General features: G+C 44.7%; 1 protein-coding gene across 1 annotated transcript in view; it reads right to left on the bottom strand.

Annotated features, from left to right (window-relative positions):
* Positions 1-27,746, bottom strand: part of EPHB1 (EPH receptor B1) — a 465,208-nt gene that overhangs the window by 77,576 nt on the left and 359,886 nt on the right. The window contains exons 7-10 of the mRNA NM_004441.5: positions 20,712-20,874; positions 16,816-16,924; positions 15,886-15,950; positions 2,910-3,032 (exon numbers count right to left, since the gene is read on the bottom strand). Coding sequence (NP_004432.1) covers positions 2,910-3,032; positions 15,886-15,950; positions 16,816-16,924; positions 20,712-20,874 — 460 coding nt within the window. The remainder of the gene's footprint in view (positions 1-2,909; positions 3,033-15,885; positions 15,951-16,815; positions 16,925-20,711; positions 20,875-27,746) is intronic.

Genomic DNA, 27,746 nt, shown 5'->3' with positions numbered 1-27,746 from the left:
TACTATGGCTGATGTCAAGCTACCAACATGGTGTCACTAAACATGGGGCTAGAAACAGATGTGCATAATTGGCTCTTGCAAGCTACTGCAGGCTGTCCAGCATAGCATGTCCACTGCTGGAAGGTCATGTTCATTATCCTTCTTAAATCATTTAGTTTTCCTCTTCTGTCACTATCTCATTCTCTCATACGCCTCATAAAAACTTACTTTTTCTACTAGTGTTTATCCTTGAAGGCTCAGGCCAAAGGTCATTCTTTGCAGAGCCTTCCTGATATGCTCAGCCCCTCCAAGAACAGCAAGCTGGATGCTGCTCTTTGCATAATACATGCCTGTGTGGATGGTGTGGAATAATTAACTGTTACTGGCCTGAGTTTTTCCCACTAAATCTGTCAGACCTCTGAGTCTGTTTATTCGCCTCTGGAACTCCACATCCAGCATATAAGAAGTATTCAGTAAAAGCCTGAGGGAAGAAGAGGAGGGAGAGAGGAAGTAGGGAGGGAGAGAGAAAAAAATAAAGGAAGAATAAAGGACTTCCGACTCTTCTTTTCATGTTTTGTTGCCATGTTGCAACCCAAGTTTTCCCCCTGCTTCAAGTATTTCAAGTGGCTAAGAGAAACATTGCCAGTTACATGGCATAAATCTTACCTTAACAAATTCCTTACTTTTAAAACAATTTGACCTTCACACCAGCTCTTTTAGCACTGAAGAGTCAGCCTCAGTGGGGCAGGGTATGAGGGAAATGAGAGTGATGGTAGAGGAGAAAAGGACCTGGAGAAAAATTGGTTCCCTGCAGGAGTGTCTTCTGTTAAAATTGCATGAAGTTATGCATAGTAAGTTAACATCCACAAGGATTCGCTCTGGGATATTCTGAATTACAAGGAGATGGGTCTCTGCTACAGAATGGTAACTGGGCAGAGTAACTGGGCAGAGGTCTTTATGTCATGCTACTGGGCATCATAGAAACTACTAAATGCATCATTTCTCCCCAATATCACATGAGTCATGGAGAAGACTGAACCTTCTCTGAGCAGAATGCACAACATGGCAGCACTGGCAAATGCTACACACAAATGGAGGTGAAGGATGGGGCAGAACTATCAATTGTCCTTTTACAGGCATCCAGCAGCTGGTGAACTCACCCCAAATTGTAACTATCCAGTAGGGTCATAAAGTGAGAAAGCTCTTTACTCCTCCTCTGACAAAAGCAGGTGGGGGTGGGGCTGATGTGTGCTCTCTGGGATGAAATACAGTCCAGAACACATCGCTCTAAGCACATGACATAAATAACAACATTAAAGTCACTAGCACCATTACCACAAGCCATAACAACAATTAATAACACGAGCAAACAGAGTACAGGACTGAAAGCCCGCCTCCCCAACACTCTTTGATGTTTACTGGAGAAATCTGAGCCCTTAAGAGTTATCCAATTTATCTGGTACCCAGCCTTCCAAGGCATGATCCTTAAATATGTCAGCATCTAAAGGGGAAGAGAAAATTATCTGCACAGAAGTGAAAGTCGTGGTTCAGCAACATTCTTAATGTAAAAGTCAATGGGAAATATGCATAAACTCAAGTGGATCTGAGTCTGGTGACCCAGCTGAAACTCCTGAGGGGTTGGCGGGAGCAGGTGGTGTGTCATTTCCCAGCACCCACCACACTTATGCTGAAAGAAGTGTGAGGACGAAGCTATTCAAGAGGGAAACCAGAGCAGGAAGATGGCGGCCTAATGGGACAGACTCTCAAATGTGACTTCCAATTTCACAGATGGCTTTTTGACCCCTGAGTGCATTAAGAGAGCAGTGAACAGAAAGATGGTGACATTCCCCCTAAAGATAATATATGAAGTAGCTGTAAGACTTTGACTAAACATATTTTATTGAGTTAAAATATTATTGAGAGAGGCAATTCCATGGCTTTCCCAATAATGATATGAATAAAGCACTTCTAGATCTAGGAACCTAAAAAAGATGACAGCATATTAGTGAAGAGAGCTTGGACAATGGCTAACAAGAATTGAAGAGGAAGAAAAGACGAAGAATGTTGCAGAAGAAAATAAAACAAATTTAACACATCTTTTAAAAAGGTTCATAAGACGCAGGAATGAGATTTCTTTTAGTGATTTTTGAGATGTTTTATCTCATTTACATTAATAAGTCTAGGTCCATTGCCAAATTGACTCAGCTACTAACCCATTAAAGGAAGATGAAAATTCTAGATCAGTCTTAGGTATGATTTCCTGAGAGCATCTCAGGCAGTGAGTTTTACACTGGGCTGGGTTTCTATTCCAGTGCAGGAAGATGGATGAGGGCACACACATTTCTTGAGAGTGAAATTCGTCTTGTGTTGTTACCAGCTGTACCATAGATTTTTTGTAAAACAAACAAACAAAGAAAACAAACAAAAAAAAGAAGGTGATAGGTTGACTTTCTTCTGGAAACAGTGGTCTCTCTTCTATTCATCATGGTCTGTCTTCAAATTCATGTACATAGGAAATGGAGAACTTACAGTATGGCAAGATATCTTGACTTTAACCCATTGAGATATCATTGTTAGTAAGTGGAATACTACAAATGTAGATTTCTTTCAAAGCCTTCTCAACTAAGTACCTTATCTGCATTTGGTGGTCCATTTCCAGAGTTATTTCTGAATCTATAAAACTGCAGCTGACTTTTCTGCAACAACAGACAAGCTTGGCCACCATGGTCAAGGTCCCCAAAGATCCCAAGTGATGTTTTCTCTCTGTCCTAGATACACATGTAGATAGTTCAGACTCATCTTCTGAGGAGAAAGAAGATAGAAGCTCTCCTCCTAATGGGGCTTTTCATACTGAAAGAGACCATCTAGGGTGGTGGAAAGAAGATGTTTGGACACCAGGAGAACAGAAACAAGACAGGGAAGAGCCATACCTGCTCCGATGACCTCTTCAATTTTCACAAAAGATACATCAATCTCCTTGGCAAACTCCCGGACAGCTTCGTTGGGATCCTCGTAAGTGAAGGGGTCAATGTAGATCTTCATCCCTGGGGAGCCTTGTTGGAGGAGATAAGCAGGGTTAACATCCCAAAGAGGACATGGTTGTCATTCAGCACTGCTGATGTCCCCAGCACTAAGGGCATTCCTGGGAGGAGCTCTCCTACACACCAGGCTGCAACTTTTCTCTGCCTCTCCTCCTCTTGCTGGGCCTCCTCATCTCCCTTCCTTCTGGGTCATTCTAGACTGATTCTCTGTCCTCTACTTCTCCTCCATATTTTCTTCTTTTTTTGAGCTCTTGGTGAAATGTGGAACAGATTACTTATAAGTGACAGATCGGGACCAGTTCCCACACCGGGTGCTCACAGAAGGCAAGGAAGCTGACTGATGCCAACCAAATGCATTAGCAGAAAAGTGGTGGTAAAATGGTAGGGTAGATATCAATATTTATCAACTTGACAACTTTCCTGAGTGGAGGCCACTGTTAAGGTTATAACTGACGGCTGTGGTGCAGGGCTGTAAGAGGGAAGAGGATGGATTTTTTTACAAAGAGAGAAATTGCTGTTAGAAAAATCTGGAGATGGAAGTGCCAAGACGGTACACCAGAAGAGAAAATGTGAAGAGAAAAGCTTAGAAAATACTAATAGAGAAAAGAGCAAAGTCTACATAGAAAAAATGAGGTGGTATGAAAGAAAAATGGTGATTGACTCTTCATGCCTTCGGACACACTGAAGTATGAAAAACAAATAAAATGGTGAATGAGAAATACATAAAGGAATATAGACCTTGTCACTGATATATACGGTGGCAAGATAAATAGGTGTGCATGGGGACAAAGTAGAGAATTGTCACTGCAGAAAAAATACATTCAAAAAGTAGAGGAGAGGGAACAAAAAAAAAGGAAATGGAACCCAAGAAACCAATGCATTCATTCACAATGTAATTTTTCAACATGTTTGATACGTCATTAAGCAAAGTACAGGAATTGTTTACATGGTGGTGGGTGGTGGAAAGGCTGGGGCTTCGAAGGTCAAATGACAAGGTCTGATATCACAGCCTTGGGAAGAGTAGGGGCTTTCTCTGCCAGGTACTGCTGTCTCATTCAAGAAACAGTCAGGTCAGCAGGGGAAGGCAGGCCTAAAAAAGCCACACTGCTCCAGGTGCAGTGACTAGGGCCCAAGGCTGAGGTTAGGCCTCAGGTTTCATGAGCTCCATTTTAGCACCTCCCCCCTCTTCATGTTCCCCACCCCTTGCCACTACAGCTTGTTCCCTGGTGACCCCCAGCTCTAGTTTTGACATTTTCCATCCAAAAAACTTCTGATGGCTCTATAGCTCTCCTAAACTGGTGTTGCTTGGTCACCAATTCAGGCAAGGACTGGAAATTAGACTAGAGTGTAATCCAAAGGAAGACAGAAGATACAGCAAACCATTGAGGAGAATTTTTTTTTTTTTTTTTTTTTGAGACAGTCTTGCTCTGTTGCCCAGGCTGGAGTGCAGTGGTGTGGTGTGATCTCGGCTCACTGCAACCTTCACCTCCTGGGTTCAAGCGATTCTTCTGCCGCAGCCTCCTGAGTAGCTGGGATTATAGGCATGCACCACCACGCCTAGCTAATTTTTGTATTTCCAGTACAAATGGGGTTCCACCATCTTGGCCAGGCTGGTCTTGAACTCCCGACCTCATGATCCACCCCCCCTCCCCGGCCTCCCAAAGTGCTGGGATTACAGGTGTGAGTCACCACGCCTGGCCTGAGGGGATTATTTTTTAAGATAAGGAGGGCCAGGTGCCCTGCCCAGAACAGTTTTTTTCTGAAAGATGAGTTATTCCCAGTCACTTGTTTTAGGGTTGTTCACACCATTCTAGAAGTCTCCTTGAAAGCTTTGGGAGGACACTGACTTGAGAATATATAGACTGAAATTTGGACAAAGGAAATTGAGAGATCCTCACCTTTATGTAGAATATTCTAGTCCCCAGGATGGATATCAGGGATGTGCGTGTGTAGGAAGAGACTTCTGCTTTAATAACAGTGGACAAAGAGAAAAATGGAGATGGGGGTGCCAGTCCTTTTTGACTTGTTATAAAGAACAAGTGAAGAGTAAGAACAGTCAAACCAGATTGGAAGCATATAGAGAACCCAGGTCAGCATCTCCAGGCCACCCTGTCTTACCTTGGGTTCCCCCAGAAGCAGCCCTAGAGGCAAGATTTTTGAAAGTAAGTGGCTTATCTGGGTGGTGATCCCAAGAAGTACCTGAGATGAGAAGGGAAGTAAGATAGGGAAAGGAAGGCAGCCTATAAGAGGCGCATTCTCAAGCCACTGACCACTGTGGGTCATTGAGCAGGCCTAATTCCCCTGAGATTCACATCTAAGCAATGTCTAGGTTAGCACATGCTTCAGAGTTGTCCCACTCTGGGGTCAAGGGAGCTGTGATATTTCCACACAATTGGTCAGGGGCTGCTTGGCCTGTTGTACGGGTGGGCAGGGGAGGCTCCAGGGCCAGGGAAAGCAGTCAGGCAAAGAAACACTGATGCCACAGGTGGAAGCCAGCTGATGTGCGACTGGCAGCAACAGATGCACTCAGAATGCAAAAGGGACAGCAGGTCAGCGTTAACAAGCTATGACTTCTCCCAAATTCTGTGCTGTGGTGAGAGGACGTAAACAGCCCAGATGCTGGGACCCACAGGTGAGGTCAGGGCCCCCAAACCTTTTACTAGCCCCGTGTAATGTGACAAGTCGGCACACACCTCTTAGCATGGTTTTCTCCTCTGCCTATGAGGGCGGTAACATCTCCCTCCCAAAGTGGCTGTGAGATTAAAGAACATATTGCTGACGACATACCTAGCACAGTGCCTGATGTACAGTGATGACTCACTGACTGATAGACTTGTTATATCATCAGTAAATTGTTCTAGGAAGTGTTTGGGGAGGTAGGAAGAGGAAGCAAGCGGAGGGTGGGCAGTGGGGGTTGTAAGCCGCTTAGGGTTATATTAGTTACTTCGAAAATAACTACCTTGTTATTTTAGATCAAAGGCTTTTGAACGATGTATGCTAAGCTGTCCTACAGGAACTCTTCCATGGAAATTAATTAAACAATCTAGAATATGCGGTAATGAATGGTTTGCAAGTAAAGACATACATAAGGATGAATGGGAAAGGATTCTGAGTTAATGAGTTTTACAGATATTGGCCCCAATCAGTTCAAGGAAGGAGCTATTCCCAGAAGGGAAAGGGCTTATCTCTTAATGGTGCCAGGATTCTTTTGGGCCAGTAATGCGCAAATAAGTGCACATAAACGGAACAAAGTCTGCACTGTGAAGATGGGTGCACTTTACTGACGAAGAGAGGTGTGCTGCTTTGCTAGCTTGTAGAATTAAGAAGTATGTGTGTGTGTGTGCACACATATATGTGATGTCACAGCTGCTGTTCTGGGGCCATGGGCATTGGTGTCACTGAGACCTTTCCCCAGAAGCCAAGAAGGCTGCCTGGAGTAGTGATGCAACGTCAATTTAGAACATCTTAATGGCTGCATCTATGCAACAATTAGACTCAGTACTCGTTTCCCCTGAAATTGAGGAAAGCATTGTCACATTGAAGAAGGGAAACTGAAAAAGTGAATCATTGGTCTAACAAATGGCTCAAACTCAATGACTTTCCCCTAAGGTCTGATAGGGTGGGCTGGGAAGGTGGCCTTGGTGTTGCTCCTCTGTGTGGGGCGGCAGTCTGTGTTCTAAATCAGGAGAGTGACTTGGTTGAGCACTCTCAACCAAGCACGTAAGGGCTCCCCTGTATCCGCCTCATCTCAGAATGACGCATCTTCCTAGACCTCCCTCCTGCAGTATAGCTAGCCTTTCCAAATCTTAGAAGATGATGAGGGGAAAAAAAAGCCTTTAGCTAGGCAGAACAGGTCATTTGTCTTTTGGCTCATTTTGTGTTTCTGCATAAATCCTACATCAGCATGTTCCTGCTCCCACTTGCCAGTGAGCAGTTTTTAATTATCAGGAAAATGGTGTTTAGTGCAATGAATCATCAGACAGTGAACAAGGAATTCAAGTCAGCTACAGAGTCAGGCACAGCCAAACATTTGGAGACAGGGCTCAGAAAACGTTCTCAGATTTGTGAGTGTTGGGGAAATATTATTAGTGGCAGTAATAATAATATCAGATGTAATATATACCTATAATGTAAAGCATTTTATAGTAATCCGTACAATGCTTTATATTATCATTATTCCTAATATAAATATTGTTAACATATTTATATTTTATAGTTTCCAATTATTGTCATCATAGGTTACATACCTTTGGCACAAAAATGTTATGTATGGATTTAAACTGCTGTTTATTAGTACCTCAAAAGAGAGAAAAATCTTTAATTTTATGTTCTATTAATTTATTAATTTTGATTAAAGATCTACTTTGCAGTCATGTGTGTTCTTTGACCTCAAAGTTCACTTATGCTATAGTTGAGATTAACTACAGCCTTAAAGGACCATAGTCTCAGGAGAATTATAAAATCTTAAACATGAACCAAGCCTTTAAATATATTAGGTTTGGGGAGAAATGATTTAGCCACTGTCCAGAACCTTGTTGCATGGAATGGAGTAGTTCTTGAAGCAGAAGAAACTTCTGAGCATTGTCAGAGACCTTCCATCAGTAGATCAGGATGCTCTCAAAAGTGAAAAGGCTGGGACATGTCTCTGGGGATGTTGTAGACATGTAGAGTGTATCTGAAAAGTCGGGGAGACCCTTTATAAGAGCCAGGGTCTCAGGGAAGAGCAGAAGAGGGCTGGAAAGGGTCATTTTAAACAGTAGGTGATATTTGGGGATTGAAAGCTGGAGGGAGAGGAGTGAATGCTTCTATCCAGGCCTCCTGTGCATTCAGGAAGTACAAAATCAATACCGTGGACATCTTAGTGGAGATCACGAATACCCACATGGCTCCAGGGGTGCCAGTACAAACCTGGCACTTCCCAGCTGGTGGAGGATGCCTAGAATTCCACAGTATGGTTTCAGAGGTAGTGCATTAGGCTGTATTTAGTCATTAATATTTTTGTGTCCCAGCAGGTTTGAACAGACCAATGAGAAAGTGTGGCTTTTTGTTCTTCATTCTGGATTCAAGGCAGACGATGTCATTTTTGTGACTCCCCTAAAATTGGTCCAGATATTTAAGCACAAGGGGTTTTATGTGTTTGGAGATCTTTACATACAGGGACTTCATCCAATCTTCTGCCTCAGTATGTTGATCAACCCTTTTCCTCAACACTAATCAGGACTCCAAACCAGCACTGTGCTAAGAACTGTGGAAACTATCGGCAAAACAAAGTTCACAAGTTTCTTTAGGCAATTAAGATATGAAATAACTGGAGAACAGTGCTGGATAGTCTTGGATCAGGAGCCCACATCTGGAAATGGGTTGCAAGTGCTGCAGAGACCAGAAAAGGCAGAGGCTATGGGTGCCAGTCTTCAGGGTCAGAATCCTGAAAACATCAGAACTCAGCTTGAGCCTGAAAGGACAAGTGCACATCGTATTGCACTGGAAAAAGAGGAGCCTGGAGTGTCGTGAGCCACAGCTAACTGAGGCCTGGCAGTGCATGAGTGGGGAGAGTGATACCAGCTTGAATGTGGAGGGAATCAGTGATAGTCAGAAGCATGGGAAGGCCTTGGTTACCAAACAGAGGCATTAGGATTGATGTCATGAGACACACAGAGCTGACAATGGTTCCATCAGCAGGGGACAGATGTACTGAAAGTGGGGCATCGGGGGGCTCATCTTGCTGGCAAGCTGCAGCATTTGCATGCAGTGCTGTGGGGAAGGGGCTGGAGGTTGGAAAAATAGCTATGAGGTTGTTATGTAATACAAATTCAGGTGTAAGATAACAGTTTTCAACCGGAGTACTGCAACAAGAACAGCAGAAGAGACAAGACAAATTTCAAAGGAAGATGTGGTTGCAGTTGATGAGCAGTCAGATGTGGGGAATTAGGGAGGGACAAGATGAATCCAAGTCAATGCCAAGACCTCTAGAATCACATGGCACTATTAACCAGGTGAAGGGCTTTTGGAAAGAAATCCTATTGTAAGAGGGGCTGGCACATGTGGTTTTAGACGTTGGATGTACAAATGAAATATGCAGGTGCTTAGAAGCTGGTCAGAAAACTCGGACTGAAGACAGAGTCAGAAGAGTGGAGCTGGAGTTGTGGGTTTGGGAGGCACACGGGTGGTAGCAGGAAGGCTGAAGACTGGGCAGTTTCTTGGAGTAAACCAACTAGCGAAGGCTGACGAGCACTAGAAATAGTCTGCCCCACCGACCTCTGAGGGCTAAGACCAGGACACTGGGTGGTTGTCTTTTTCCATGAGAGCAGGGGTCATGGGTGCCCAGCCAGTGCTTGAGGAAGAACCCAGGACAGGAACCTCAGGGAGGACAATGCAGGCTGGAAAAGCAGTGGGTGGGAGGAGGACCTTCCTGACACTTTGTGTTTGGGGGTTTTACCACATTTTTGGGATCTGCCCCAAAAACCAGTTATTACTGAACATCTGTCTCCCAAAGAAGGAAAGTAGACCATAGCTGCTTCCTCTTAAAGAAACTATTTCAGGCCGGGCGCGGTGGCTCACGCCTGTAATCCCAGCACTTTGGGAGGCCGAGGCGGGCGGATCACGAGGTCAGGAGATCGAGACCATCCCGGCTAAAACGGTGAAACCCCGTCTCTACTAAAAATACAAAAAATTAGCCGGGCGTAGTGGCGCGCGCCTGTAGTCCCAGCTACTTGGGAGGCTGAGGCAGGAGAATGGCGTGAACCCGGGAGGCGGAGCTTGCAGTGAGCTGAGATCCCGCCACTGCACTCCAGCCTGGGCGACAGAGCGAGACTCCGTCTCAAAAAAAAAAAAAAAAAGAAACTATTTCAGAAAAAAAGCTTAACATCTCTCTGCTTTGTGGGTATCAATGACGGGGACAGGCTGGTCCTTCCCAGCAAGGCCCAATGATTCTGGATCACTGAGGAGCTGTTGGGAAGCAAAGGGCAGGAGCTGATGATCTCAGGACCAAAAGAGTTAACACGGTTTCTTGAGTCTCTGGCTTACAGCCAGCAGCAGACACATGGGTGAATCTAGCTCATAAAATTTATTTGACATTTAATAAGCCCCCGCTGTAAACTCAGCCACCTTTTGTACCAAGGAGACTTTCCTCCTCTCCCAATAAGACTTCGTTTACTCTCCTCATTGACTAATGCTCTGGTTACCCTCCAGAAGAGGGAGCCGAAATTGCCAGTCTCCCTCCTCCAGGGACACACCTGACCTGCACTTTGGTTCCTGAGGTGATTTCTTCTGGGCTGGATGCTGTGTCCCTTGCAGTTCTGAAATACAGACACCACCCAGAATCCAGAAACTGGGTGTGGAATCTTGGAACTAGACATGCTTCTGGGTGTAATTTTGTCCAATATCCTGTCTAAAGCAGAAATCTCTCTAGCATCCTTTACTGACAGCTATCTAGTCTCTGCTTGAATAGGAACAGAGAACTCACACCTCCCTGCAAGGCAGACTGTCTCTTTGCTGGACAGCTCTAGTGAGGAAGCAGTGCACTTACAATGAATAAATCTGGCCTACTTTGATATTGCACTTGATGGTGCCATTTAATCTCATGAAGCCAACAACATCTTTCTTTTGCCATAATGGCATTATGCTGGATGATGACTTCCAGGTTCCTGCCTGGGTGTCTGCAGCACTGAACACTGGCATTTCCAAGTCTCTTTGGTAGCAGATCAGAACTTGCCACTGCTCCACAAGCAAGCTGCTCTCTTCTGGACAGCTACTTTGCAGACAATGTCCTTCTCGAAATGGGATCCCAGAACTAACATCACTCTAGATGTGTTCTTACCACACAGAAGACACTGTTTATATATCACCTTTTCTGATCTGAACCCTTATCAAGACACTGTTTATATATCACCTTTTCTGATCTGAACCCTTATCGAGACCACAGAGTCAGACAGATCTGAGTTTTAAACCTTGTTTTGCAAATCACTAATTCCAAGACTCTGAACAGGTTACTTGTTCTCTCTGAGGCTTTGTTTCTTCATATGCAAAATGTACCTCATGGGGCTGTTAGGGGGATGAAACTAGTTAATTTATGTAAAGTGTTTAACAGAGTAAGTGTGCAATACTGGTGGTTATTAGCAGTATTATACTGCATCAATAACATTGCTTGGATTTTTGTCAGCTATGTATCACTGATACTAAGAATGTGGTCAACTAACTCATTTTTTTCACACAAATAAACAGCAAGTTAGGTCTCCTATTTGCACTGCTTTATTTTTGTTTTAACCTAAACATGAGATTCCAGATTTATCCTGCTAACATTTTGTCTTGCAGATTTCAAATTAGCATTCAAAGCTGTTGGATAGTTCTGAATTTTGATTCATCTTCTGTGGTGTTAGTTATGCTCTCCAAATGTTACCTACACACTCGATAAGCTTCCCTATGCTTGCACCTGAGTCATGAATTTAAAAAACAATCAAACAAACAAGAGATTGAATAGGACAAGGACTAAAATAACACCAGGGACTTCCTTCCTGGCTGACAGAGTCACTAACCTACTTTCTTTTGGTAGGAAGACAAGCTCAGTATCCACTTAAAAATGCTTTCCCTTAGGAGACCATAAAATATTTTTTTCAAAATAAAAATTCACTCCATCTGCAATTCCTCTTGAATTTACTAAAGGTATAACCCTGGTAAATTAGACGAGGTCCTCATATTTTTTTTTCTTAATGAAACTTTGGGGGTTCCCAGTGATCACTGAATTCAAATGTGAATGCCCAGAACTCATCTGCTTAATCATCTCTCCAAGTGTTTGGCAGGGATCAAGTTCAGACTCCTGTTCTGTAATCTCTGTGCTCTGCCCTCTTACCCTATGTGAAAACTAGGGTGTTTGCCAATCTAAAGTCTTTGGGCACATACCCCATTTGTTTGTGCTTTTCCCAAAGTTCACCAACAGTAGTGCTGTAATGTTATCTGCAGTTGCCTGCACACGGATGTGAGTCTGTCAGGGCCACTTTCTGAAAGCCCTTGACCCTAAACCCCTTAACAAGCTCTTATCTTCCACTCTCCCTACCCCTACACATTCCAGCCAACTCAGAAATCAGGGAGGTGTCAACCTCTACAAAGTAGGTAGTAACCTAATCTTTGTAAACACCTTTTAGATTCTACGTTTCCCAAATGTAGAATCAACTGGAACTTTTTTCAAGATAGATTCTCAAACTTATACTTGCCCACCTAGATCATCGAGGTGGCCACCTGGACCACCTAAATCATCTCATCCAGGCAACTGTTAGTCAGCCAGCACCTACTGAGAACGGGCCCACAAAAACCATGAGAACAAACTGTTTCTCTGCCTCTTCCAGGACTCGGAAAGCCACATCCCCACCCTCCCACCCTTGAACATGCATGATAGGCTCAGATGAAGAGCATCTGGCACCACACCCAGCACATCTTCTCTTCCAACCTGCTTTCCAGCTAGTCTCTTTCCACCCAAATCCAAATTCTCTATATTCCTATTCACTGTGCTCCAGGTTCTGAGGAGGAACATTAAACCAGTGCCCTAGAAGCCACATTATGTTATCAGATTTACTAGATCTGCCACGTCTCAACTAGCTAGAGAAGGTATTCTGTTTGCAAACATTTCTGTCATTTCTTCTTCAGCCTTTGCATCAGTTTGAAAGGAAGGTCTGGGAGGGGAGGGGCTGCCAGCCTCTCTGTAGTGTCCTGTGCCTTGCCTGCAGGCAAGAAAGGCAGGGGCTCTCTCAGGCATTAATGAACAAGCTGGGGAGCTGCTGGTTTTCTGTTACTCCCTGGTCAGGAAGATCTCAGAGCTCCAATTGCTGTCTGCAACCCCCAGAAGTTCATGCCTGTGGATGGTCCAGATATAGTTATGTGCACACATTCGGATCAGACATTATCAATCTTTCTGCCTCCTGCAGTGGGATTCAGAGTGGGGAGCCACAAAACACCAACTTAGACAGCTGGGATTAGTCCTGGAGCTGCTCCTCATAATCAGGCTGTGGAAAGAGCATGGGCTCTGCAGCCGGCTTAGAGGGTGTGTAGTCTGCCTCTGCTACTTAGTCATGTGCCCTAGATAAGTCACTTAACCCTCCTAGATTAGTTCCTTTCTCTTAGAGTGGTTGTGAAGACTCAATGAGTTTAAGAGAGCTGCCAGAATAAAACTCCCAATGTAGGGAGTTCCCTAACCCCTTACTTCTACCCCTACCCCCTCTTTGGCCAGGCCCTCCCTCCATCAGAGCCTTCAGTTTCCCCTTCTGTTGTATGTGTGCTGAGCCATCCGCCAGCTCTACATTCCTTTGACCATGATTCTCCAACAGTAATAGCTTTAGTCAGGGAAATGGATATTCACAGGAGTAAACGCACAAATGCAATTCAATGCATGAGACTGAGTTTAGAGAACTTGGGTGCAAAGAGGAGCCAGGTGCCCAAGGTTGGATCAAAAGAGAATAGTTATGAATAGAGGGAAATGACAAGATTTATAAAAGGCAAACCGAATTAAAAAGAGGACAGACTTCCAAGGAAGCCAAGGGAGTGAACCCAGACCCACAAAAAACCCTGCATCCATCCTGAGTCCCAGGAATGGCGACTATGTAGCTGGCCAACAATGTTCTTTCAGCTGTCCTCCCTTGTTCCAGCAAGGCCACTATTACTGCAGACTGAGGATTGGTTTTTCTATGGATCTCAGGAACCAGTAAAATCTTCCTCTGTTGGCCTGAGAGGTAACAGAGTCCCCCAAAAGGTAGCTGTGAGCATTTTGGAAGCATGCTTTTGTGCACATGGGCACCATGTGATGGCCTGGCATAGCTACTCCTCGAGAGCAGGAGAACAGCCAGATCTCAGGTTGCAGTAGCCGAAAGGGCACAAAGTTTCACCCCACCCAATGTTTGGAGAACCTCTATACCCCAGCCAAGGAGTGAAGCCAAGGCTTGGCTTGCACGCTTTTGGAAAGGGAGCTCTCACCTAAGTCATCCTAAGGCATCTTTGGATATCTCTTGACTTCGAAGTGAGATTCCTCCTTTTGAACCTAATTTTTTATCCTTATGGTCCTGGCTCCACTTTCAGACTGACATGACCACCTCTAAATGTTTCATCCACAGCATTCACAGGATGCCAGATCTGAAATGGACCTTACAGTGGCTCATGATGAAAAAGAGCCAGCCCTGAGCAAGAGTCAGGGAGGCAATGTCAGGATCCTGAGGCAGAGGCAGGGAAGCAGGGAGACGAAGGTCGCCCTTGAGGAAATACGGAGGCACCCTGGTGAGTGCACCATCACTTGAGAATCACAGGTACAAGCAAAGTCCCTGTTTTCCAGTTGGGGAAGGTAAGGCCCTGCCTGGAAGGGCTAATGCACAGGCCAACATAAATAGAAGCATCCTGTAGATTATGCAGCAAGGCACACAGTCCGGCCATAGGAAAGGAAAGAGAACACAGCAGGGTTGATCCCTCTGAAATCAGTGACAATGGAGTAACAGGGTGGCCCAGGGAGAGAAAGAAAGAGGAATAAGCAGGACTCTGAATATAGCAGGAGCTGTGCCTGTGGCCTAGAGGGCCCCCACACTTGGGCTGCTGATGGTAGGGGCTCCCCTGGGGCACCGTGGGAAAGCAGCAGTGCTCGAGCCAGTGCAGAACCCACAACTCCCTCCAGCAATAAGTGCCCTGGGCAGCAGCCCAGCTGCCAGGGGCTTGGGCCTCTGCAAACCCTTGGCAGGGTCTTGATCTTAGATTGGAAGCCACATCTATGAAGTGCCCTTTGTACAGCCCGAGTCGGCATTGGCTGCATTAGAACACAAGCTCCTTCATGGTGCAGCTGCTGCTGTGAACATCCTGTCATCACTTTCCCGCCTTGGGTAACCTTAGAGAAGAAGCAGTCTGGTCCATGAGAACTTTGGCCTGGGAGTCCATGTTCACCCCCAGAAGAACCCCCCTGTGGAGACAGGTTTGGTGTGTAGGTACCTGGGAGGTCTGTTTTCCATGCTAATTGCTGAGAAAACAGGAAGCACCAGCCTTACTTTGCAACAAGGGGGTTGAGGTGAGATGAGGCTCACAGAAGAAGCCTTGACAGAGCATAGCACACAGTGCTGGGACAGATTTCTGAGGGCATCTGTCGAATTCAAAAGGAATTATTTAGAAACAGAATGTGTCTGCTGTAAGGATCTGAGAATTCTGCTTTCTGGAGGCAGGAAGGTGGCCCAAATGACCTAGAGAGACCTTTCTCAGATCCTGCAATGTTGTCATTATACAGATGAGAAAATGAGTGTGACAGGGAACTTTATGTTGCACCTTGGTGAAAAGAAATTTTAGTTATAAAAATATTATAAATATAGGTTTATAAAAGAGAGAGGATAATGAGTGAGAAAAACTTTTAAAGGTACTGCTTAAAGGAAAACACTTGGGAGATATCCCAGCACTTTGGCCTCTTGGGCTCTGCTATCTTTTTAATTCCCTACCTTCATGTTCTATGGCTTATCTGTGAATTTGGTTAACAAATTCCCCAGCTGCTCAATTGGATAAGATAAGGCAGAAGATGTTAATAGAGAACTCCATCTTTTCCCACTGAGTCTGATTTGAGGATTCATTGACTTGCTAAACCCAATCTTTTCCCTGCATTTTGTGTCCTATATGGGCTTATCAGTGCAGACAATAATCTACCCACCAGGCATCCAATGAGTACCCATGACAGGTAGACGGCAGATGGGAGGGTAGCCTGTTGCCCCTGGGGACCTGCAGAAAGGTGGCCAAGGCACTGGGGGCTGAGAGAGAACTTGCCACTGGGACCAGCCAGTCTGGCTATAAAGAGAGCTCTGAGCACTAGCCCACTTGACTCAGTGGCCTGTGGGGGTCAGACACCGGGTCTCTGCTTTCTACTTACCTCGGCCTGTGCTGTAATGCTGGAGCTTATCGCTGTACACAGCCTCTTTGCTATAAGCCCGTTTCCTGTGGATAAAAAGAGGGGCTCTCTCAGCCACAGGGCACACCCACCAGTCTGTTCCAGGTACCTCCATCTAGGCCCCAGGCCAGATAGGGGCTCACCCGGGGCATCTCCCAGGATTAGGGACTGGGCAACTCTCACTTCAGCCCTCCTGCTGCAGTTAGAGCTCTTGTTGACCACCACTCACTCCTGTGGGCAGATGGTTCTGCTTTCCAGCCAAGGTCTTGCAGAAGCCTGGCGGGACTGTGGGACCCCATTCAGAGGGCAGTGCTGATGGGGGCAGAGGTGAAGAGGATGTCCATCAGCACTTAAGCTACATTGCAGAACTGCTTGGGAGGGAGCCAACTACAGGGCTTTGCGTGACAGAATCTGGGCTAACCACTGAAGGCAGTAGCAGCAGTATTAAAAAATCACAAGGCTTTCGGGGCCAGCTTTTCTGCAGAACTCAGAGTTTCCCTTTCCTCCTCATCTTCTCTCCTGCCAGCCTGCCTCCCTCTTGCTGGCTGCTGAGAGCCTGAGCTCTCTTAACTGGAGGATGGGTTATGCACAGGCTGGATGCTCCAGTGAGTCAAATGCAATTTTGCAACTGTCACTCTGAAAAGCCATTGTGTGTAAGAGGGGGCTAAAAGTCTTCGTTAAAATGAGGTTTGAGGATGGATGCTGTTTACTCATAGCCTTGCCCAGCTCTCATATGAATTTTTTCCCAGCTAAATAAATATCTAAAGAATTCTAGGCTGCTCTTGGATTGAGATGGAGTGATGATTGTGGTCGTGAATGGTCACACCCTATCTGATCCACGCAGCCTGGGAAACGGCACATGGAGAGGGGCTTCCTGGGTCCAAGGAGAGCAAGTGAGAGTGGAGGACCTACCTGCTACAGACGATAGAGATGGCCACCAAGGACACAACGAACACGACCCCGGCCGCTGCCGAGCCAGCAATCAGGGGCAGCTGCTCCCTCAGCTCTGACTTGTAATCATCTAGGTGAGAAAGAGGCATTAGAATCCTCCCCATGTGCCTTTTGCATACAGCTGATACTCAGTGCACAATACCAAAAACATGATCTAAATATACATATATGTAGAGGATAGTTTCTATGTGTCAGAGTTGTAAGTCTAACCAAAACAAACAGCAATTTTTAAGTTATAAATAAACAAAAACAACCAAAAACAAAGGACAATGAAAACAAAACAGCCGTGACAGAATCTGGGAACTATAGCTGATGACATTCCTGGAGCAGAGATGATTTCCAATCTACATTCCCTCAATTGGAAGGTCTCTCGAAGAACTGTCAGCCATGTTAAGGACATTCCAATGAAGGGGACTTATCTAAATGAAAACCACTGCTGAAATATCTTCTAAAGCATGAAGTTATGAAATGGCACAGAGTCAATAGATTCATTGAGCAGATACTTAAAGAGTATCCGCAGTCAGCCAGCACTACCTCCAGGCACTGTGGAGGACAAAGAAATGCCTGAGAAATGAATGGCCCAGCACTCTGAGTTCCCGCTCAAGAAGAAAATGATCAAGGCTTCTGCCAAATGTTAGAACCATGCTGAATTATGCAGTGGAATGGGAAGCCTACGGGTCATAGAGGCAGACAGAACTCATCTAAACCCTGGCGTTACCATGTGCAAGCTTTGTGATACTGGACACACGATTTAGTCCTTCTGACCCTCACACTTCCTGTCTGTTGAAAAAAATCAAATCATATGAAGCACATTTCACCCTGTCTGCTCTATCATAGGTGTCCTAAATACCAAATCTCTTTTCTTTAATCTATACAAATAATTTGGGCCAGCTGGCTAGTATTGGTATTGTCCTGGTTATGCTTTCACTGGTGTTAAAGAACTATTACCTAATGTTCAGGACCTAGGCATAGAGAAGTCAAGCTATTTATGTTCTATTACAATTAGAGTTGCCAGCTATAGCAAATACGAATGTAGGACTGCCAATCACATTTGAATTTCTGATAAATAATGAAAAAGGTTTTAGTATAAGTATGCCTCAAATATTGCTTGGGAGATACTTACACTAAAACATAATTTTTGTTTGTCTGAAATTCAAATTTAACTGTTCATCTTATTTTTTATCTAGCAACCCTAATGACAATACTTCTTTTTTTTTTTTTTTTTTTTTTTGAGACAGTCTTGCTCTGTCACCCAGGGTGGAGTGCAGTGGCACAATCTTGGCTCACTGTAACCTCCGCCTCCCGAGTTCAAGCAATTCTAATGTCTCAGCCTCCCGAGTAGCTGGGATTACAGGCACATGCCACCACACCCGGCTACTTTTTGTATTTTTAGTAGAGATGGGGTTTTACCATGTTGGCCAGGCTGGTCTTGAACTCCTAACCTCAAGTGATCCACCTGTCTCGGCCTCCCAAAGTGCTGGGATTAGAGGTGTGAGCCACCATGCCCACTGACAATACTTCTTAAAGTGAGGTTTCCCATGAGCTATCAGAATTACCTGAGCCCGACTGTTAAACATGACTGTTTCCAGACCCCTCCTCAGATCTACTGAATCAGATCCTCTGGGTGAAGAGCAGGGTATCTGCATATTTAACAAACAGTCCAGGTGATTCTAATGTTCCCCAATGTTTGAGAACTGTCCTTCAACCATGTTGGAGGAGAAAGATTTCTAAGAACAAGGATATTGGTTCTTGAAGCCTCCCATTCTCTAGAATTTTAAAGACGGAAGTCAATTTTAAAGACTGAAGGAAAATTTTCAGTTGCCCTCAGCTGAGACTTTCTGTAATATATGTATTTAAAACATAAAGTTGGCGATAGAAAAATACACAGGGAACCCCAATGAAGCATCCTTAACAATGTCTTTATAAATTAAAAACTTCATAATGTAATATGAAACTTGAATGATTTTTTAAAAATTAGGCAGCTACGTCAAAAATCAGAACAGTGTAGCTAAGAGCAGCCCAGGGCCATAGTGGGTCTGCCCTATGTGGAGGTTACCAGCCCAAAGTGTGGCCATTGACTCTGGGCAGGATTCCACAGGTCCTCCCTGCCCCAATGACCCTATCATCGATCAACCTTCTGACTACCTTCGCTCTGCAGACAGGCCTGCTGCCCCAGTGAACATAATCCGTACCCATGTGTGAACCTCAGTCGTAAGACAAATACTCCCAAATTTGGCCACTTACCAGAACTCTCTTACAACCAGCCCCTCTTGGGTTTGCAAAACTTAACTGCCAAATGTAAAAGAAACAGCCTTCTTGGGAGAAATTTGTTACTTCTTGATTTGTCTAGCAGAATTGCCAAGAGACCAGCACTCGGAGCATTTTGAGTTTTGGGCTTTTAATCCTGTGTACGTCCTGATGCCAGAGTGCCTATAAATCTAGACAGTAAGTGAGGTGCAAAGTGGAGGACAGAGCCCTTAAGGAAAAAGAAGACAGTCTGTGTTCTTTTCATACCAGTAGCATTATCAACCTGAATTAACTGGCTCACCTCTCTACCCCATCTCACCATCCTCAAAATATGAGAGAAAGTCCACCTCAAATAAACTCACAATAGATTGCAAACTCCAGTCCTACAGGGGCCAGACGGTTCACATCAAAGTATCCAGGTTAGAGATATTGGAAGTGGTGGGTACCATATGCAGACAGCTGCCTCTCAGCTTTAAGGCAAGGTCCTCACTCCAGAGTGCCCACAAGTATTGGCTTCTCTTACAATTTTTTCACAAGAACATCAACATCCTGATTTGTATAAGAACCCAACTGATTTTAAAAGTTTCCAATTAATTTCAAAATTGTTAAAAAATACAATGTGCATCAAGATAAAATCTCAAGCCCTATCAAACACCCAGACTGAGAGCATTGGCCTAAAATAAAATGCTATATAAGGACAGACTGTTTTATGGATAATTTAATTAATGAAGGAAAAATGGAAAGCTTTCAATTTGGGGAGTCAGGAATAGACTGACATTTGGAAAACTATCAGGAAACAGCTCATAAGTGAATAATAAATATAGATATATAGGTAGGTAGGCAGATACACAAATAATTACATAAACTATGGTAAATGGCTAGCTAAGAGAGAGAAAGTGGTAGGCACAGTCAGATAGATCACTTGAGCACAATGCTGAGGCTACTGGGAAATCAGATTTTTCAGAACTATTGCTGGGGGTGGTCTCAGAGGAGTGGGGCAGATAGTGATAATAGGGAACTAATAAAACCCAAAGGTAGAAGTATATTTATGGTGATAGACTTTCTGGCCTTGAGGACACCTTGGCTATTCTCTCTGGAGACATCCGAGCAGGACATACTGGGGGTCACATGTGAAGTTGCTTCAAATTTCTGAGATCCCAGGTGCATGAGACTGCCACATCCCACATTTTGTCTCTCCATTTCCTCCCTGAAGACCTTGGCTCATGAAACTAGGCCATGAGCTCAGCTTTCAGACCATAAGCACAGAGGAGTGAAGTGGGCGTGAGGGTGAAACAGAGGCATCTGGACCTGGATACCTAGGCAAGAGGGCACACTGGCTCCATGAGACAGGTATGAGTCTCACTGCTGAAATGCAAGATCACACATGGCAAGAGACCCTTCAGAGGCAAATCCAACCAGGCGTTGGGAGAGAAATGAGCCAGACATCAGGAAAATCTACATGGCCCTACTGGGAGGCAAACCGTTTGAAGGGAATTCCACTGGAATCCAGTTGGAGATCAGCATTTTTGGCTAGTGCAGCATCTTTGGGGCTACTTTTTCTCCCACACTGCCTGCCCTGTGATTATGCCACTGCCCTCCCCGACCCTTACCGTCAGTCAGAGTCTGGAAGCACATCTTGCCACTGAACTTGCCGTAGCCAGCAACAGTGCGGGCACGCACCTGTACCACATATACCATGCCAGGCCGCAGCCCATCAATCCTTGCTGTGTTGGTCTGACTCCTGGCCATGGAGGAGTTGAACTCATTGTGTTCCTAAAAGAAAGCAAGGGAAAGGGTCACTATCCCATTCCTGAAGGCTACACCCCCAGCCCACTCCACCCTGGAGTATTCAGGCCCCATCATTTCTTGGTCCTGCATATCTGCTAGCAGTTGTCATCAGCTCCAGGCCATCCCTCTGGATGGGGACAAGAAGTCTGATCTGGGCCAAGGGAATGTAGGGTCAGGTCTGGACTATGAGGTGGCCACACTCTGAAAAAAGGGGCCCAGGGAAATGACTGAGTGCTCAGGGACTGGCGAGGAAGCTTATTGTCATTCTCTAGTCCTCCTCCCCAAGGGTTCAGAGGTGAAATAACATAGCACATCCAGCTTTGCAAAATCCCCTCAAGTCTCTGACCTCAGCAGACTCAAACTAGGCAACATCCATCTGCCCCCTGCCTGCCTCTCTTTGTCTTGCTTCTGCTGAGTTGTTCTGTTTTCTCTCCTGACTCAGATCTCCCTAGACACTCTCCAAAGTGCCTGTTCTACATCACTCCCCTTCAGTTCCTTCAAGTGCTCAGGCAAAAGGCTTTGTGTCCACTCTGCTGGAGAGGTAGAGGCCATTCTGGACTGCCCTCCACACCTACTTCTGCCCTCACCTTGCCCTGTGTCTGAGAGTGCATCCCCCAGCTACTTTCCGCCAGCATTCAGAGCGGGCATGTGCCTTCTCCCTGCAGAGCAGCCCCTGTGTCCTCATCCCCCCCACCTACTCTGGATGAGCCCCATTCTCCTGTCTGTCACTCTCTCCAGCACTTTCTGTGCTGACCTCTACAGTCCCTGTCATCTGCACACTTGGGTCCTCTGATGTGCAGAGAGTTGCTTCTGTTTTCCAGAAGCATGACTCTTTTTCTCATCGTGAGTGCCCTTAAAAGGTGACTTTTTCTCCTTGCTACTTATCTTATTAAACACATGATTTGTGCCTGGACTTTTGCAGCCTCCTTTCTTTCTTGATGTTCCCCATCCACCCCACCCAACGCCACACTTCTTTTCTTAAAAACTATCATCATACAAAGGCAAAACTCTTAAATATAGATTCACAGGTCCTTCATAATGAAGTCAATTCCAATCTCTCACATTCCCCTAAATCCGGGGACCACATCTTTGCCAGCAGACATTTGCTTAGGCTCTTTTCTTTGTCTAAAATGCCTCTCTCCAGGGCTCCTCTACTCCCTCCAGATTGCTTAAGCCTATGTTTCCCAAGGCCTCTTCTCTTGGAAGGCTTCTTTCACCAGTCTGGGCTGTGGACTGTCTACACACTGTCATTCCGAATCACACCTCACCCCAGCACCTTCTTGTATACCAACATGGCCTCTAATCATTTTCACAGGAGCATATCTTTTCTTTGCAAAGATCCTGGGTTATCTGCAGGTATGCATGAACAGAAGCTTGAAGCCTGGGCCTGTCTTTGTCTGCACCATGAATCCTAGAAAAAAATGGGGACTTTAGTGAAAATGAAGAGCCTGGATCACTAGGAGGGAATGATCCAAGTCCCTGTGTCCCCTGTGCAGATCTGGGGTACTGAGATGAGTTCTAGGCACAATGGTTCAAGAAGCATGCTTTACAAATTGTAAACTGTATTCTTGGTAAAATGACAGAAGAAACAGAGCTGAGCTAGGATACAGTACAGTGATAAGAAATTCCCATATAAAGAATATATTTTATGTAAATATATGTAAAGAATACAGTACAGTGATAAGAAATTCCCATTGTTTAAAATATATAAAAGCCTACTTTGTGAAGTCAAAGATGACCTGATGTGTATTTATTTACTCATTCCTTCGTTTGGCCAGCCAGTTACATTTATGACACACTACTATCTCTGGGTGCTATACATGGGCTGCAGGTACAAAGGCATGGTTCCTTTCCTCTGGGGATGTAACATCTGTGGGTGGACTGGTAAATAAATAGAAGATGACAGCAGTGTTGATTGAGTGAGTTGGCAGAGAGCAGTTCAGGGGATTGTGGGGGCACAGCAGGGGACCATCCAGCCCAGACTTCAGAGGAGATGCAGAGTGACTGAGGGAAAGGGTGACCTGAGTTGAGTCACAAAAGATGAAATAAATTAGCCACATGGATGAATGTGGAGAGTGAGAACAGAATTAAACATGCAAAAGCACGGCCTAGAGGAGTTCAGGAGACTGCAAGTAATTGGCATATCTGAAGTGTGGGTGGCATAGAAATGCCCATAAATGATTCAGAAGCAGTTGTGAGGGACCACAGGTCCCAGGTCAGCTCAAACACACAGTTGAAAGTTACAAAGAGGCCCATTCTCACTCTAATGAAGGGGATGTCTACTGGGCCCTGGGAGAGATTGCCTGCAGAGGAGCTGCCCACCCACTATTTGATCTATTTAAACACAAGGGGATCCTCCCCACCCCCACTCAGGGATTCAGAAGAAAGGCTGTCCACTATAGAAGGGATGTCATCCAGAACTTTGATCATTTCTACTTTGACACAGTGGAGATCTGAGATCTGAAACTGTGAAAATCACCAAGTCACCTTGCAAATAAGAATAAAATCCCATTGCTACAAAATCCAAGCAGCTGCCTGAATTCTCTGGTTTTAATAGAATCTGCTGAAATCAGGCACTGGCTGATAAATATGAAGCAGTGACTGGATAGCTGTTATTGAAAAACTGTTTTAATACATCATTGGTATTTGGATTGTGAGGACCAAACATTACTCCATAATCACTTTATAGTCCAAACATTCTTGAAGAAGTTCAGTGATTAAAATGAATATTAGTTCTTGTTCCCCACAAAATCATTAATCAATTTCAGGCAAATCAGTAAGAGCCATGAACAAAGTTGCTTTTTTTTATTATTATTGGTTGCTTATGACTAATTATAAGTATGTGGGAGACAGAGGATGCAGGATGGAGAATGCAGCTGTTGAGGGCAGAAACCATGTTTCCCTCATTTCTCCTTCCCCACCCCAATATGCAGCGCAATGCTTGTACCACCTGGGCGCTCAACAACTCAATGCCAAATGAATAAATAAACAGTAAACTTCGGTCCAGTTATTTGAACAAATTGATTGAGCACAAGATATTGCCAAGGTCTGAAAGAGTCTCTATGAGAAAACGATCCTAAAATTTGAAAGGTAGAAATTACCAAGGCCTAAACCAGCCAGTCCTAGCCTATATAGTTATTATGAAGAGCGAGTAACCATAAACGTTTAATCATTAAGACAGCTGAGAGCAGATGTAGATGCTCCTCCTATGGTTTGTCTACAAGCGCTGACACCAGGAGTGAAAAGTGCTACACGACAGTAAACAAGAGAGAATGATGAATGGAAGTGTATTAAAATGGGGAAGGAGATGAACATGGGAAAGGCTCCAGGAGTGTCATCAGCTTGATGGCATCTGAGCTCTCTATTAATGAGCTGGTGGAGGAAGCAAAAGCCTCATCAATTCTATTCATAGAGTGAAACTGAAAGGGGTCCTAAGCGCAAACCAAGGGTTATGTGGAGCAGGAGACCCATGGAAGATTTTCAGGGGTTACAAAACTGCCCTCATGGACCAGCTACCTGTTTTGATAAAGTTCCACTGGAACCCAGCCATGCCCATCAATTTGCATATTGCCTATGGCTACTTTCCCGCTACAAAGGCAGAGTCGACTATAGCAGTTGGGGCAAAAACCATATGGCCCGTAAGCCTAAATTAATTACTTTCTGGTTCTTTACAGGAAAAGCTTGCTGACTCCTGGTTTAGATGAGGGGCTGGGACTTCCTTGGGGGAAGAGGAGATGGCACAAGATGAAGAAATAATGGGGTTTGCTTCTTTGGACCAAATCCAAGACATCTACTGTGCTGAATTCTATTTGTGTTTACATCTTCTAAAGACCAGGATTCCAAGGCCACATGGAGCAGGTAAGCAGATCATTCTGTTTGCAAGTATTTGGATTTATTAAGATACAATCTCTTATTTTGGGAGCCACACTAATTTTGAGATCCTCAGCATCGGAGGTGCTTGCATCCACTCTCCTATCAAGCTCAGAAGTTTCCACCACCGAAGTATCATAAAAATGTGTAAAGTTCTGGTTCTGTGACTCCCTAGCAATGACCTGTGCTGTTATGGGTAAGTCATTTAATGTTTCTATGACATAGCTCCATCATCTATAAGTTGGTTATATATATTTTCAAGTATACACTTTTTTTCCTTTAAGGATCAGAGCTAATATATCTGTGTATATCTGGCACATAATAGATACTCAACATACGATGAATTATCATCATTGTTTCAAAAGGCCCTCATGGGCTAACATCTTTTTCTTTGGTAGTCTTAGGAATAGTCAAAGCAATGTAATGGACTTTGTAGTCAAGCACTTCGTAAGTGAAGGAGCATTCCACAGTCGTATACCAAATGGTAACCAATATTTGCCCAAAGAACCTTCTCTGTTTCCAAGGAAAGCATTCTCTCCTCTGGAGTGGGGACAATAATATGCTTCACTGAGGTGTGGAAGCTGCTGCAGGCATTGGGCTGCTGTGTATGTGTGTCTGTTAATAATTAGTACAAATTACTAAGAAGCAGGGAGGTAGCCTGAATGGGAGAATAAGCTGCTTTTACAGCATAAAAAGTTGAGGTTAATTACAGTTTTCAAGGGAAAGCTGTAAAGGGAAAGGTAGTAGAGGAGCTTGGGCTGGTTTGGGAGGAAGGAGCCAAGGTATACAGGCATGAGCCTCGTGGCTTCAGTGCTCGGCCTGTCATTAAGCCCTTGACCCCTGCCCTGGCTACCCACTGAAGTGACTGCTCTGAGCACGGCAGATGAAGAGGAGGAGTATATGGTCTCTAACATATTCTTTCCCTTCCCAGCACCACCACCTGCTGCAGGGCAAAGGACCCAGGCTCGCTTCCCAGCTGTGGGACTCTGGACAAGGTTTTTGTTTTATTAACTTCTTTGTTTTCCTTTTAAAAACTTCTTTACCCATAGCAATGATACTAACATTTACCACACTGGCATGTGAGGAAGAAAGTAGATAATGTTTATAAAACCCCTGGCACACAATAGGTGCACGCTGGGGAGAAATTATTATTGTTTTTCTGAGATGAGGTGTTATTTCAATAGAGCTACAAGCTTATATGTGTGGGAAGGGGGACTGGGTGGACCCTTGTTAGGCCAACTCTGATGACAAAATGAGACCATGTGGTCAGTTAGTCTAAACACATTGTTCCAAAATATGTTAAAAAGTCAACATTTACTTCATTAACTGACAAAAAATATCTAGCAAGTAAGAGCCCTAAATCCAAAATGGATCAGATATAACAGATGCTTATGAATTCAGCTGGTTTAAATTATTTCCAATTCACTGAAGTATCTGAATCAACTCCTTATAAAACTCAATATTCTCTAAGTAGAATAGAATGCCGCTTAATCCTCCACCTTGCTTGCAAGTTCAGCTCTAATGGCTGAAGGGCATACCTCCTTACAGACTGGGATTGGTGATCCATCTAGACCTCCGCTTTCAGGGAGGTAAACTGCTACCATTCTATAAATGTAAAACTGTGACCTAGAGTGGTTAAGTAATTGGACCACAGCTCCATGGCTGGTTAGCTGCACAGGGCACTGGAAACGAGGGCTTCTGCTGCCAGTGCAGTCATGTCCCACTATTCAGCATGGCCTCCCTGTTGCAGGCCCATAGGTCTCTGTTTCTGTTCCTCTCCTTATTTCCATTGACCCACTGCAAGACCTCACCCAGGCTCAGGACTTTCTTATCATCTACATACTGACAACTCCCAGGTGGATATCTTCACCCGGTCCCCTCCCTTGAACTCCAGATGTGAATCTCTTGCTGCCTATCTCACATCTCTGCTTGGCCATTTTACAAGCATTTTAGACACTGAACTGAACTTCTGTTCCTTTCCTCACATCAGATATGCTCTACCCACAGTGATCACCTTCTCAGTCAGTGCCGGCTACATCGTTCTAGTGGTTCAGGCTAAAACCTTCCCATGCCCGAAATCCAACTTGCTGGAAATCCTGTTGGCTCTGCCTTTAGCTGATCTGGAAATCAACTACATTTCAACAGCCCTCTGCTTTTACCCTGATTACACCATCATCCTCGTTAATAATTGTAGATCTACTAGGCTCTGTTTTCAGTGGAACAGCTTAAATGATCCATCCAAAATGTAAGTTAGATCTTGTCCCTCCTCCGCTCCTCAACCTGCTATAGCTCCATATCTCACTCAGTGGAAAAGCTCCAGTCTTTTTTTTTTTTTTTTTTTTTTTGACAAAGTCTTGCTCTGTCACCCACACTGGAGTGCAGTGGTGTGATCTAGGCTCACTGCAACCTCCACCTCCTGGGTTCAAGTGATTCTCTAGCCTCAGCCTCCCGAGTAGCCTGCCACCACTCCTGGCTAATTTTTTGTATTTTTAGTAGAGATGGGGTTTCATTATGTTGGTCAGGCTAGTCTTGAACTCCTGAGCGCCACTGATCTGCCTGCCTCAGCCTCCCAACGTGCTAGGATTGCAGGTGTGAGCCACTGCACCCGGCCCAGTCTTTAAGGCCCAACATGATGACCTCCTCTGGTAATCTCTCTCATCTGTCTATTACTTCCCCATTTGCTTGCATCACTCCAGTCATGCTGGTTTCCTTCCTGCTTGTTGAATCACCAGTCATGATCATGCCTCAGGACCTTTGCATAGGCTGTTGCCCTTTCCTCCTCCAGATAACTGCTTCACAACGATCTTACTTTCTTCAGGTTTACTCAGATCTTACCTTCTCCAAGAGGCCTATCTCTACCCCTCTACTTAATTATGCAACCTGCTCTTTCCCAAGCCTAACCCTCCTGATCCCATTTACCTTGCTATTTTTTCTCTTTTTTCCTCTATGCTGTTGATTTTCTAACACACTATATGATTTTCTTATGT

Source organism: Homo sapiens, chromosome 3, assembly GCF_000001405.40.
Source record: "Homo sapiens chromosome 3, GRCh38.p14 Primary Assembly".
NCBI lineage: Eukaryota > Metazoa > Chordata > Mammalia > Primates > Hominidae > Homo > Homo sapiens.
This window is presented reverse-complemented; position numbering and strand designations above follow the sequence as displayed.